Source organism: Homo sapiens, chromosome 14 (genome assembly GCF_000001405.40).
Source record: "Homo sapiens chromosome 14, GRCh38.p14 Primary Assembly".
NCBI lineage: Eukaryota > Metazoa > Chordata > Mammalia > Primates > Hominidae > Homo > Homo sapiens.
In genome coordinates this window covers 92,775,506-92,790,087 of record NC_000014.9, presented here as the reverse complement: position 1 = coordinate 92,790,087, position 14,582 = coordinate 92,775,506, and the positions used below count along the sequence as shown (strand labels likewise).

Sequence of the window (14,582 nt, the reverse complement as noted above, 5' to 3'; positions counted from 1 at the left end):
ATTCTAGAATAAAAGTACAATAAGTAAAAAATAAAAAATTTCACTAGAGGAGTTCAATGCAAATTTGAGTGGGCTGAAGAGACAATTAGAAAACTTGAAGACAGATCAATAGAATTTGTCCAATCAGTATAAAGAAAAAAGAATAAAAAATGAGGTGATTCTCAAAGATCTGTGTGACATCATCAGATATACCAACATGTATGTAATGGGAATTTCAGAAGGAGAGAAGGATTGGGAGGAGGGGGGATATTTGAGGAAAAAAAATAGCCAAAAACTTTCCAAGTTTGATGAAAACATTAATCTGTACATCTAGGAAGCTCAATGATCTTCAAATAGGACAAACACAAGGACATTCAACCTGGCACATAACAGTCAAGCTGTTGAAAGACAAAGAAAATCTTAAAAGCTGTAAGAGGAAAATGACTCATCAAAGATAGAGGAACAAGAATAACAGCTGACTTCATATCATAAACAATGAAGGAAGAGGGCAGTAGGATAACATGTAAAATCCTAAAGGGGAAAAAAACTGTCAACCAAGAATTCTATTTCCAGCAAAACTATTCTTCAAAAATGAAGGCTAGATAGAGACATTCCCAGATAAACAGAGACTGAGAGAAGTTGTGGCTAGTCCTATAAGACTTGCCCTATAAGAAATAATAAAGAAAATCATTCAACCTGAAAGGAAGTGACACCAGGTGGTAATTCAAATCGAGCATAAAGAAATTAAATAGAGCAGAGTGTTAAATACTGAAACAAGTCTGTTCTAATTACTAAAAGTGGCTGAAAATTATGGAAGCAGGCAAGATGTCATCAAGGAAACTATGGCTCAGAGGAAAAAATGGGAATTGATATAAATATCTTTGAGAATTATTGGAAGAAATTAAACCATTTCCTGTCAGTGTCCCCAGTGAGTTGAGGCTACCTAATAAGCAATTAAACTAATATCTCAGAGTGTTTCCCTCCTCCAGCGGTGGAAACATAAGCTCCTTTTTGGGAGTAACTCCCCTTCTGAGTCTCCCATTTAACTGGCATCACAACCAATATACTCTTTCTTCTACTCTATACTTCTTCATAACATTTACACAATTGTAATTATATGAGGGAGGGCAGGGACAGTGTCTGTCCTGTCTATGGCTGTTTCAACAGAACCCAGCAAAGGACATGGCACAAGAAGATACTCCTACATACTGAATAATGAATGAATGATAATGTTCAGTAAATTGAGATAGCATGGAAAAGAGGCAGAAATCAGATGAACTGGTTTTTAAAAATGGCTGTTAATTATCCTCAAGTAACTTAATCTTTCTGACCCTCAATTTTATTATCAGGAAAAAAGACTGTACTCAACTAGAATATATCTAGGCTAGAAAGTAGGAAAACCTTGGTTCTAATTGTGATTCTCTAGTTTCTAGCTGTGGGAACTTGAGCAAACCCCTTCTCTTCCCAGGCATCATTTATTAAATGGAGATATTGAACTAGAATTAGGGATCACAAGTCTGCAGCCTCAATTAATTGCTTTCGTTTTGTTTGTTTTGTTTTAAATTAAATTTTGTTTTAATTTAAATTTTAAGTTAAAACAGCACAGTGTTTAATTTCATTCTGTTGCTCAGGCTGGAGTGCAGTAGTGCAGTCTTGGCTCACTGCAGCCTCAACCTCCTGGGCTCAAGTGATCCTCCCACCTCAGCCTCCCAAGTAGCTAGGACTACAGGCACATGCTGCCATGCCTGGCTAATTTTAATATTTTTTTGTAGAGACAGGGTTTCACCATATTAACCAGGCTGGTCTTGAACTACTGAGCTCAAGCAATCCACCCACCTTGGCCTCCCAAAATGCTGGGACTACAGTTGTGTGCCACAGTGCCTGGCCAAAATTAAGAATTTCTGTTCATAAAAATTGAATGAAAGGAAAGCCACAGATTGGGAGAAGGCATTTACAACACATGTATCTGACAAAGGACTCATATCTAGAATATAATGCACTCTTACAAATCAAAATTTTAAAAAAAATCCACCTAATAAGAATGAGCTAATAAACACTTTGCAAGAGAAAATATCCAAAAGCACATGAAAAGGTGTTAACATTATTAGTCATCAGAGAAATGCAAATTAAAATTATAATGAAATACATTTGCATACCCACCAGAATGGCTAAAATGTAAAAAGATGGAAAATTCCAGGTACTGATGAGGACATAAGGCCACTGGAACAGGCATACATTTCTGAGAGGAGTGTAAGTGATAGGACCACTTTGGAAAACATTGGGTATATCTGCTAAAATTAAACAGAGGCCTACTCTATGACCTAGCATAGATTTACCCTATGAGTCAGTAATTCTGCTCGGGAGAAATGAATACAAGTACCTACCCAAAGACATTTATTTACAAGGATGTTCAAAGCAGCTTTATTCATAATAACGCAAACTGGAAACAACTCAAATGGTAATAAACTGGTGAATGGATTACAAAATTGTGGTATAGCTCTACAACATGATACTTCACACCAGTGAAAAACAAGACACTGCAACACCATAGATGAAACTCATAGGTATAATTTTGCCTTAAAAAAGCCAGTCCAAAAAGACTATAATTCTATTTCTCTACAGGTCAAGAACAGGCAAAGCAAATTTGTGATTACAAAAGTTATAATAAGGCCAGGCATAGTAGCTCACGCCTGTGATCCCAACACTTTAGGAGGCTGAGGCAGGAGGATCACTTGAGCCTGGGAGTTCAAGACCAGCCTGGGCAATGCAGGAAGACCCCATCTCTACAAAAAAATTTTTTAATTAACCAGGCATGGTGGTATGTGCCTGTAGTCCCAGCTACTCAGGAGGTTGAGGTAGGAGGATTGCTCGAGCCCAGGAGTTTGAGGTTGCAGTCAGCCGTGATTGCGACACTGCACTCCAGCCTGGGTGATGGAGTGAGACTCTCTCTCAAAAAAATAAAATTAAAAAAAAGAAAAGAAAAGAAGAAGTTACAGCATCAGTTATCTCTTGGGAGGGCAGATATTGACTGGGAGTGGTCAAGGTGGAGGTGCTCATAGTGTTCTACATCTTAACATTGGTATTCATTATAGGTGTAGATACATATGTAAAAATCCATCCAACACTTTATTCAACAACAGTTGTTTACATATATCATGTTATACTTAAAACAATTTCAAAAAATACATACCTTTAAGAAGGCAGTTCCACTTTTAAGAAATTACCCTACAGATACACTCACATTATGCAAAATGACATATATGAAGTTATTAATTACAGTGTTGCTTATAACAGCAAATAAGAAGTTACATGTTCATTGCTTTAAAACTCTTGGTACATTCTTCCAGTGGAATATTATGTGGCTGTTTTTAAAAAGAAAAAGGATGTCTTATGCAAGGATACGAAAAAAGCTCTAAGATCTTAAGAATATATGTTAAATTAGAAAAAAACACAAAAGGAAAATAATGGTGTATATAGTGTGATTTTGTAATTGCCTGACAGGTTCTTCTTGCCCACTGCACAGATTTACTGAGACAGCAGTATTGCAGTAGAGAAAGAGTTTAATTAACACAAGGCTAGCCAAGTGGAAGATGGGAGCTTATTACTTGAAATCAGTCTCCCTGAAAATTTGGAGGTGAGGGTTTCTTAAAGATAGCTTGGTGGCCTGGGGTCTAGGGAATGAAGGATGTTGACTGGTTGGGTTGGGGATGAAATCATAGAGGGTCAAAGCTATCTTCTTGTGCTGAGTCATTTCCTGGTGGATCGCAAGACCAGATGAGCCAGTTTCTTGGTATGGGTTACAGGTCCAGGTGGCACTGAGAGGAGTTAGCCAGCTTGCCTTATGTAGACAGCAAGGGAAGGGTCCCCAGAGAGCCCCCAACCCACAGGGGATGACCTGTCTCATCCCCACATAACAGAAAAAGCAGCCTGGGAAAAAAATCAAGCTGCAAGCAACAACAAGGGAACTAGCACAGAGGGCTGTGCCTGGAGACATGCCCGAGGCTTCACAGATAGGAGAACCTCCAGCCCGTTCAGATAAAAACTTGCACAAACCTCCAGCTCACTCAGATAAGGGAACAAGGCCTGACATAGAAATGACTTTTTCTTTTCATAATCAGTGGGCTCCTGGGAAAAAGTTTCTTCTCCTTTTTAGGACATGAACACAGTGGGCTCTGGTGGGTTCTGGTGGGCACTTTTCCTTTCCTTTTTGGATTGTGAGACTAGCCTCTATGAATCATCACTTCAGCCCCTGATTGGTCCCAGGCTAAGGTCCTTGGGCCAAGCTGAGTCACTTTCTCCAAGACAGCCCACAGACTAAGCACATTCCTTCCCCTTCCCAGTTTATAAAATCCCTGAACCCCAGCCTCCTAGTGGGCAACCCATTCAGGCTTCCCTCTCTGCTGGAGGAGAGTTTTCGTCTTTCGCTTATTAAACTTTCGCTCCCACCTCACCCTTGTGTCTGTGCTCCTTAATCATCTTGGACATGAGATAAAGAACTCCGAGTGATACCTCACAAGAGAGATCACTACACTGTGGTGCGTTGGTGAGACTACAACAACACCAGCTGGTCCATCAGAATACGGGGTCTGAAAAATGCCATCAACACCAATCTCAGATTTTAACAATAGTGGTGGTGTCTACAGGAGCAAACGGGGAGGTTACAAATATTGTGACCTCCAGAACAATGGCTAGTTATAGTTTAACTACACTTATATCTTAGCAGGTGTAGGCCCCTCCCATAATACTAATCTTACGGCCTTTCATTCGCTTTTTTTTTTTTTTTTTTTTACTTTTTTTCAATTATTGTTGTTTTGTTTTGCTTTTTTGAGACAGGGTCTCGCTCTGTTGCTCAGGTGAATGCAGTGGTGCAATCTCCGCTCACTGCAACCTCTGCCTCCTGGGTTCAAACAATTCTCCTGCATCAGCCTCCTGAGTACCTGGGACTATAGGCACCCACTGCCACACCTGGCTAATTTTTGTATTTTTAGTAGAGATGGGTTTTTGCCAGGTTGCCCAGGCTAGTCTCCAACTCAGGCTTCAAGTGATATGCCCACTTCGGCCTCCCAGAGTGCTGGGATTACAGGTGTGAGCCACTGCGCCTAGCCAGCCTTTCGTTAGTTTTTAAAAGGTGGTTTTAGTCTCCAGAAAAGGAGGGGGTAGTTTGCGGAAGGGATACTATCATCCTTGCTTTAAGGTTAAATTATAAACTAAATTTCTCCAAGAGCCAGCTTGGCCTATGCTCAAGAATAAACAAGGATAGCTTGGAAGTTAGAAGCAAGATGGAATCAGCTATGTCAGATTTTTCTTACTGTCATAATCTTGCAAATGTGCTTTCACTGTCATTTGTGTAAAAATACTTTTTATAGGTAGAGTCTATGTCTTGAAGGACACCTTGTTTGCATCCAGAGAGGAGGGCTTAGCTAGGTAACAGGAGTGAGAGGAAGGTTTATCTATTTATTTATTTATTTTTGAGAGGGAGTCTCGCTCTGTCACCCAGGATGGAGTGCAGTGGTGTGATCTCGGCTCACTGCAGCCTCCACCTTCCAGGTTCAAGCGATTCTCCTGCCTCAGCCTCCCAAATAGCTGGGACTATAGGAGTGAGCCACCACGCCTGGCTAATTTTTGTATTTTTAATAGAGACGAGGTTTCGCCATGTTGGCCAGGCTGATCTTGAACTCCTGACCTCAGATGATCCACCCGCCTTGGCCTCCCAAAGTTCTGGGATTACAGGCATGAGCCACCATGCCCAATGGGTTTATTTTTTAATGTATCCTTTTTTGTAAGTACCCTTTGAACTCTGTACCATGAGAATCTTATTTTTGAAAGTAAATAACATTAAAAAATTATTTTAAACTTTGAATACCCCAGGAGATAGAATGTATTCTCTATGTCTTCACAGCCCTGCCTCTGTGAATCCTTATACCCCACATTTAAAGTATCTGTTCAGCCCCTGCAGGCTTCCTCCAGGGACTTTGTGACCCTCACTAGAAGATTCCTGTGTCTTTCAGCTCCTTAGCGCTGTGATTCTACTTTGCACAGATGTAGAGAATGAAATTGTGAGCCTTTTTGTGCATTTTTATCTTCCAGCAGCAGAGGGCACTTAGTACTTAAAAATATGTACCTTATGTTTGTATGTATGTTGTATATCTAGACTGACAAGTAACATAAGTATTGCTGTATCCTTTCTTTTATAGAGCACAGAGTGTAGTATTTTTATGAATTGACCTTGGATGACTCAAGGGGATTTTATATTCCTACACCTTTTTGGAAGTTCCCCAGATGTGACAGGCCAGTTCTCGTGTTTTCCATATTATCTGGGCTGCTAAACTGCTCCCAGGGATAAATCTCTTCACCCCTGAGCCCCTGATGAACCTCTTAGATCCCCCTCTCTCCCTATCCTCAGCTGTCCATGCCTTTGAAGAGCCCTCCAACCCCGATATGTCCCCATGTTGGTAGTGGGGCTGGGCGGAGAAAGTGCTTTACGTTGTCCTGGAAATAGCACAAGCCTGGGAGTAAACAAACTATGTTGTGCCTTGCTATGGCGTCATGGACAACTCTCTCAGGGCCTCAGTTGGTGGTTTATAAGGTGTATGTGGGTGATTGCTTCTTATGCCATAAAATTATTTCTTTTTCTTTTTCTTTTTTTTTGAGACGGAGTCCAGCTCTGTCGCCCAGGCTGGAGTGCAGTGGCGGGATCTTGGCTCGCCGCAACCTCCGCCTTCCGGGTTTAAGCGATTCTCCTGCCTCAGCCTCCCGAGGAGCTAAGATTACAGGCTCCTGCCACCACGCCCGGCTAATTTTTGTATTTTTAGTAGAGACTGGGTTTCACTATATTGGCCATGCTGGTCTCGAACTCCTGACCTTGTGATCCGCCTGCCTTGGCCTCCCAAAGTGCTGGGATTACAGGCGTGAGCTACTGCGCCCAGCCAAAATTATTTCTTTAAAGTGCTAAATTGAACTAAATTTGGCCTGAGGATGCCTCTATACTTGAGTTCTTACATAAGGAACTGCAACCTAACTTGGCACATAAACTGAAAGCCTAACTTAGGAGTATACTTTTGTAACAAAAGTCTCAGCCAATCATAGCAGCAGAGCTTCAGTCAGTTACAGGTGGGCAACTGATCAGACCTTGTCCAAATAAGGCCTTTCTCTCCAGCTCCATCTTAAACTGCTCTCCTCCTTACCCACATGCTCCAGCCATCCAGCCCTCAGGAACATTGGCCTTGCTATTCTCACTGCCTGGAAATTTACTCTCTGCACCCCTTATCTCCTACAGGGAGCAATCTAAGGGACCAATGAGGAAACCACAATGCCTTTTATAATCCAGCCTTGGAAGTCAGAAACCAACGTTTCCATCATATTGTACTAGTTTCACAGACCATCCCCAATTCACTGTGGGAGGAGAATACAGGAGGGCATGTGTACCAGGAGGTGAGGATCTGTAGGGGCCATCTTGGGGCCAACAATTACAGATTGTTGACAAGTAATGTCTGCGATTTGCTAGAAGATTATCTGGACTGGGGTTGGCGAGGGTACAAATCAGACAAGACTGCTCATCATTGATCAACACTGAGTTTGGCTGATCATTACATATGGTCCTTTACACTGTGCTGCCTACGCTACTACATATTTGAGATTTTTTGTAATAAAAAGTTAAAAACAAAAAAGACAATGTATATAGTGTGGGAGTTCACCTGTTCAGCCAGAGTGGAGCAACTGCTATTCCCAAACCCAAGTTCACCTTTTCACCAGGCCTTATAGAGTATCTGATACACACTTGCCTAGTTGGTCAGAATTAGCTAGAAGTGAACACAATTATTAAGAAAATAAGTTGCAGAAATACATGTATGATATAATAGCATTTATTTAAAACTTTTAAACCTATAAAATAATACTATATAATTTGTATAGATATTGAAATGCATATTAAGGGTAAAAAATTTACAGGAATAATAAACATTAATTTATTATAGTAGTTACTTCTGGATGGAGAAAGCAGGGACAGATGCCTTTAGAAATATGTTTATGATTTTTTAAGGGTAAGAAACAAAATATGGCATAATGTCATCACTTGATAAAGTTGGTGGTAGGTAAATGGGTGCTAGATATTCTATAGCTTTGTCTTTTTTTTTTTTTTTTTTTTTTGAGAGGGGGGTCTCACTGTCTCCCAGGCTGAAGTGCAGTGGCATGATCTCTGCTCACTGCAACCTCTGCCTCCCAGGTTCAAGTGATTCTCATGCCTCAGCCTCCTGAGTGGCTGGGACTACAGGTGCACACCACCACACCTGGCTAATTTTTTGTATTTTTAGTAGAGACAGGGTTTCTCCACGTTGGCCAGGCTGGTCTGGAACTCCTGACCTCAGGTGATCTGCCAACCTCAGCCTCCCAAAGTCCTGGGATTCCAGACATGAGCCACCGTCCCTGGCCTATCTTTCTATTACTGATGGAGATTTGGGTTGTTTCCAGATTTGGAGTAATACTGATGGGAATATGATTATTCATGTATCCTGATGCACATATGCATGAGTTTTCTTGGGTAAATGCCTGGGAATACAATTTCTGCATCTCAAGAAGAGTGCATTTTCAACTTGTCTTTGTAACGCAAAACCAGTTTCCAAATGGGTTGTCCCTCTTTATGTCCCCACCAACGTGTCTGCAAGTATCACTTGCTCCATAACCTCACCAACATCTGCTATTGTCAGACTTTTTACTTTTTGCCAATCTGGTAGGTTTATAATAGGCATCTTGTTTGGGGTCTTTAATCCACCTGAAATGGATTTTTTTGTATGTTGAATGAGGTATTTCTTCCCTTCCTTCGGTCTCTGCTCAAATGTCATTTTCTCAGAAAGGCTTCCCTGAATATTCTATATGATAAATTCCCCAGGGCTCCCATCTCTCATTCTCTATTCCCTTACCTGGTTTTATTTTTCATTAACTTCTGACATCATATTCTACATTTATTTCTCTTATGTCATATTTATGTGGTTGAGTTATTTTTATTCTCTTAACAGATAGCAGCTGTGGTCTAAAGGCTTTGCGCATATTCATTCTTTCAATTCACATTATAACCCTGTGAGGAACAGGCCTATGCGGTGAGTCCTATTATTAGCTCGATATTATAGATGAAGAAACCAAAGCCGGAGAGATTAACATGCTCAAAGTCACACAGCTGATAAGTGGCAGAGCCAGGCAATGGCACAGGGGCCGCTACTTATTTATTACCTTGTTCTCCATTAGAATATGAGCTCCAGAAGGATGAAAGCTTTGTCTGTTTTGCTTACCTCGTGCCCAGAACAGTGCCTGGCACACAGGAGGTGTTCAGTACATACTTGTTGAATAACCTTGGCAAGCCCCAGTCTTAGTTCTCTCTTAGAGCTGAATGCCACATCTGACACTGATCTGCAGAGATGTAACAGGAGATTATTAAACCTAGCTCTTTCTCCTTCCCTTGCAAATCATATTGCCTTACGATGCTTCCTCAGTAAAGGTTAAGTCTGGGTCACCCAACCTCAGCATGATTCACATTTTAGGCTGCATAATTCTTGGCTGTGGGACACTGTCCTGTTAGTGCATTGGAGGATGTTTAGCAGCATCCATGACCACTACCCACCAGACACTAGTAAGAAACCCCCTTCTCCCAGGTGTGACACTTAAAAATGTCTCCAGACATTGCCAGGTGACCCCTAGGGGACAAAATTATCCCCAGTTGAGAACCACTGAGCTAAACTTTGAAGTTTGTCTTTGAACATGGAGTGTGGGTGGGGGGAGTATCAAAATGTCACAGAGAGGCCGGGTGTGGTGGCTCACACCTGTAATCCTAGCACTTTGGGAGGCCAAGGCGGGCGGATCACCTGAGGTCAGGAGTCCAAGACCAGCCTGGCCAACATGGCGAAACCCCATCTCTACTAAAAATACAAAAATTAGCCGGGGTGGTGGCGTGCGCCTGTAATCCCAGCTACTCTGGAGACTGAGGCAGGAGAATCGCCTGAATCCAGAGGGCCGAGGTTGCAGTGAGTTGAGATCACGCCAAGGCACTCCAGCCAGGGTGATAGAGCTAGACTACGTCTCAAAAAGAAAAACCCACAGAGGAGGGAAAGAGGGACAATATGATCTGGAGATGCTTGCATCCAGCAAGAGAAATCTTCTTCGTCTCTCTGTGTTGGGATGGTGGGTGGGAAAGGGAGGTCAAAGTGCAAGGCCCTTCTTTCCTCCTCCCCACCCCCAAGTTCAACTGTGAAAGGGGGGGTTCCTAGGCTGCACATAGGTGCTTAGAGAAGTCCTAGTACATAGGATTTTCTCTCCACTTCTCAGCACACAGGCCAGGAATCTGCAAGCCCCCCATAACACAGGCCCACATTCAGGGGGTCGTTAAGAAATGGCAGAGGAACATGCCTAGGCAGGCGTGCAGGTGTGCTGGAGGGCAGCCGAGAGAGACCTACACACTCCAGAGTAGTTTGGAGAAGGTGGCTGAGGGTTTCTGGATCCTTGCAAAGCACAAAAGTTCAGAACAACTCTGTAGTGCAGCAGCATGGTGCCAGCAGCAAGTCCCAGTTCAGCACCTTGAAAACCCAAGTGGGACCAGCCAAGCAAGCACCAGGGCCCAGGAACTAGACCGGGCAAGTCTCAAGACATCAGAGACCAGTAAACCTAGAAGAACAGCATGTGACAAAGGGTCCTCTTCCCACTGCCACAAGGATACAGAAGCCCACCCTGTCTCCAGATGCCATCTTGGAAAAGAGAAGTGGGAACAGGAAGTGTATTAGTCAGAATGCAGAGTCAGCTACCATGACAGAGATCAAAGTGACAATGACATAAACAAGATAGAAGGTTTCTCTCTTGTGAAGCATCCAAGTATTAGCAGTCCAGAGCTAATGGAGAAGCTCTTTGGTGTTGGAGACTCAGGTTCGTTCTCCCTTGAGCTCTTCCATTCCTAGACTGTTGGCTTCATCTGGTCTAAGATGGCTCCACACCATGGCACTTTCCAGGCAGCAACATAGAGACTGTATGGATATTATCCTATTGGCCAGAACTGAGTCACATGGCTGTACCTGGCTTCAAGTGAGGCTGGGAAATGTAGTCTTTAATTGGGAAGCCATGGGCCTGGCTAAAGCTCAGGAGTTCTACCACTAAAGGAAGTAAGGGGGCTGCCAGGAAGACAGTCTGAAAGACGAATCCACTTTTCCAAAGGAATCTGAAGGAAAGTGATTTAAACCAGTGGAATCTGAGCTGTCTCTAAGTGGCAGCTTCAAGTCATCTCGTCCCTATGCCCTGCTCTTTCTCCCTACAATGGGGGCTCCAGATCCAGAGAGCAGTTAAAGGAAATAGTGAAACACAATATCTTTTGCAGAGCTGAGGGTTACTTCACATATTTTCAACCTTTTGGAGAAAAAAACAACAGAGAACTGGGTGAAGTTTGAATTGCAGCTCCTCTGTTTCAGAGCACTCAGGCAGGCTGGCAGCTCACTCTTGGGAGAAAGGGACTGGACAGGCCTCTGTCACCAGCATTAATGGTCATCCCACAGTAAGTCTAAGGAGAGGCACATCAGACTTCTAAGGAAGTCTCATGAGTATTCAACAAGTATCAGATGATGACAGAATAGGAGGAGGTTTAGGGTAGGTAGGAGACAAGCCTGAAGTCAAAGACCCCATGAGCCCAATATTATAATGATTATCCCTCTTTGGTATTAGAGGAATAATAAGTGCTCTTGTTTCATTCTTAATACTAGCTCAGAACCTACTAGCAGAGTACTATTTTATCAGCCAATCTTCATGAAAAATCTGTGAAGCAGGGACTATTGTTATTCCCATTTTACAGATGAGAAAACGGAACCTCAGAGAAATTAAACAAGAATGACCCAACATCTCTAAGAGAGGTGAGCCTGGAGAGCAGAGGAATTGAGCTGGGCTGGGGCTTTTCTTCCCTAAGGATCCTACGGAACATGTTGCATCACCATCAAACATGGTGGAGTATGTTTCTTAGAAAGATGGAGGAAGACATTCCTGGCAGGTCATGGTGGCTGATGCCTGTAATCCTAGCAGTTTTGGAAGCCAAGGCAAGAGAATTACTTGAGCCAGTACTTCCAGACCAGCCTGAGCAACACAGTGAGACCCTGCCTCTATAAAAACACAAAAAAATTAGCAGTGTGTGGTGGCACATGCCTGTGGTCCCAGCTACTCGGGAGGCTGAGGCCAGAGGATCACTGCACTGTAGCCTGGGCAGCAGAGCAAGACCCTGTCTCAAGAAAAAAGAGAAAGAAAAGAGGAAGAAATTCCTGACTGCTCTTAATACAGTTATTTTCCAAAAGGGAGACACTGAATTTATATGTGATACGTATAATGATCGTGTGTGTGTGTGTTGATAAATAGAAAGCTTATTGCAAAATCTGTGACCCACCCGAGGGAAGCCCACAGTTTTCAAACTCACTTCTAGCCACATTGTATGTCACCACCTCTGTTCTGTCTCCTTATACTTCACTTTTCTCCCCTAAATCATTCTTAATGCAGAAACTTGTTCTTAGGAGGAAAAGACTTGACTCTGTGGAGTCAGCGTCAAGTGCAGTGAGGTGTGTGCAGCTTTTAGCTGCACAAATGGAGAAAAACATTAACGATTTTTTGTGTCAAGCAACACTGAGGACAATGAATTCCATATCTTTGCTATGATGAACTTCCATATAATATCTTGCAAGACAAATCAGGATATATTAATACTAGGAAGACAGGGACAGGCCATAGGAACTGTCAGAGGCCACTTCTCTATGTGCAAAGCCTGCGATGTGTTGCAAGTGAGTTATGGAGGGCATGCTCTCAGGAGAAACCTAGAGGGGAGGGAGAGAAATGGAAGAGGGCAAAGGAAGATGCTCTGTAAAGACGAAGCTTCAGGAGGAGGTGGGCCCCAGCCTGATCCCACAGGGAGTTCTGGAGCATGGCTGGTACCATAGAGATAGATCCTTCTGCCCAGAGGCAAGAAGGCTGAGCTGTTACAACCTCCGCATCCATCAGTCGTTGGCCAATAAAGCAGGTATAACCTCCCAACCATCTGCTGTGGAGGACTGGGGGACAGCTTCCCACAACCAAGAGCAGAATGGAAACCAACCTGAGAGGGGTGCGGAGTGAGCTCATAGCAGCCAACACCACAGCAGGGAAGAGGCAGTGCACGGGCCCAGGACAGAGGACCTGGGCAGGCCACCAAGAGCATTTTCTACACTTGGAGTTATCACAACAGATGCATGATACTAAAGGCACAGATCTATGATAGGTTTTTCATTGCATTAACTATTCTATTTATTCATTTTTTAATGGACTTTATTTTCTAGAGCTGTTTGAGGTTCACAGCAAAATTGAGTGGAAAGTTCCATTTTTCTTAAACTCTGTGTTTAACACAGAGTTCCCATATTCCTTCCCCCACCCCAGCTTGTTTACAATCAACATCTCACATCTGAGTGGCACATTTACTGCAATCAATGCACCCGCACTGATACTTCATTATCATCCAAAGTCAGTAGTATATATGAAGGTTCACTCTTGGTGATGTATGTTTTACGGGTTTTGACAACCGTCCAATGACATGTGCCCACCATTGCAGTATCATAAAGAACAGTTTCACTGCCCAAAAATCCTCTGTGGTCTGCCTATTCATCTCTCCCAACCCCTGGCAACTGCTGATTTTTTTTGACTGTCTCTATCGTTTTGCCTTTTCCAGAATGTCATATAGTTGGAGTCATGTAGTATTAGCCTTTTCAGATTGGCTTCTTTCATTTAGTAATATGCATGGAAGCTTTCTCCATGACTCTTCCTGGCTTGACAGCTCATGTGTTTTTAGCACTGAACAATATAATATTTCATTTTCTGGATGTACTACATCTAATAAAGAACAATTTTTTTTTTTTTTTTGTGGTGCCAGAATGTTGCTCTGTTATCCAGGCTGGAGTGTAGTGGCACAATCTCAGCTCACTGCAACCTCTGCTTCCCTGGTCCAAGCAACTCTCCTGCCTCAGCCTCCCAAGTAGCTGGGATTACAGGCGCCTGACACCAGGCCCGGCTAATTTTTGTATTTTTAGTAGAGATGGAGTTTCACCATGTTGGTCAGGCTGGTCTTGAACTCCTGGCTTCAATTAATCTGCCCACCTTGGCCTCCCAAAGTGCTGGGATTACAGGCATGATCCACCGTGACTGGCCTCAATAAGGTTGTTATAAAAAAAAAAAAAAGAAAGAAAACTTTGGACTATAGAGCTAACAGGTATAAAAATTTAGTTGAATATTCTCTATGGACATTTTTAATAAAAACTTGGGCTTCAAGTCAGGAACATGTCTTCCATTTGTACATAACTTTAGTATCACTCTCTCTTTTAATTTATGCTTTTTTATTTTATGTATCCTTGAAAGCTGCCTTCAATCCATTCTGGAATAAATTGGGGGTAAATAAGTAAAGACACAAACACCTGTTTCATCTTTGTATTTCCCAAGTGCCTTTAGCCTTGAGAGTCTGGGCAGTTTTACAAGTGCCTTTGTGATATATTTTCAGTAGCAAGAGTGAAACTGAGATTGTGGTGACACGGTCCAATCCCAGAGGTAACAAGTTATGTGTTCCACTCTGCTGAGCCTTG

The 14,582-nt window shown here is 42.6% G+C and overlaps 1 annotated feature.

Moving 5' to 3' along the window:
* Positions 10,976-11,075: a silencer, noted in NCBI's record as "silent region_6039". NCBI's record gives its function as "represses an Ori minimal core promoter by ATAC-STARR-seq in GM12878 lymphoblastoid cells {active_cell/tissue: GM12878}" and the evidence as "EXISTENCE:reporter gene assay evidence [ECO:0000049][PMID:35858748]".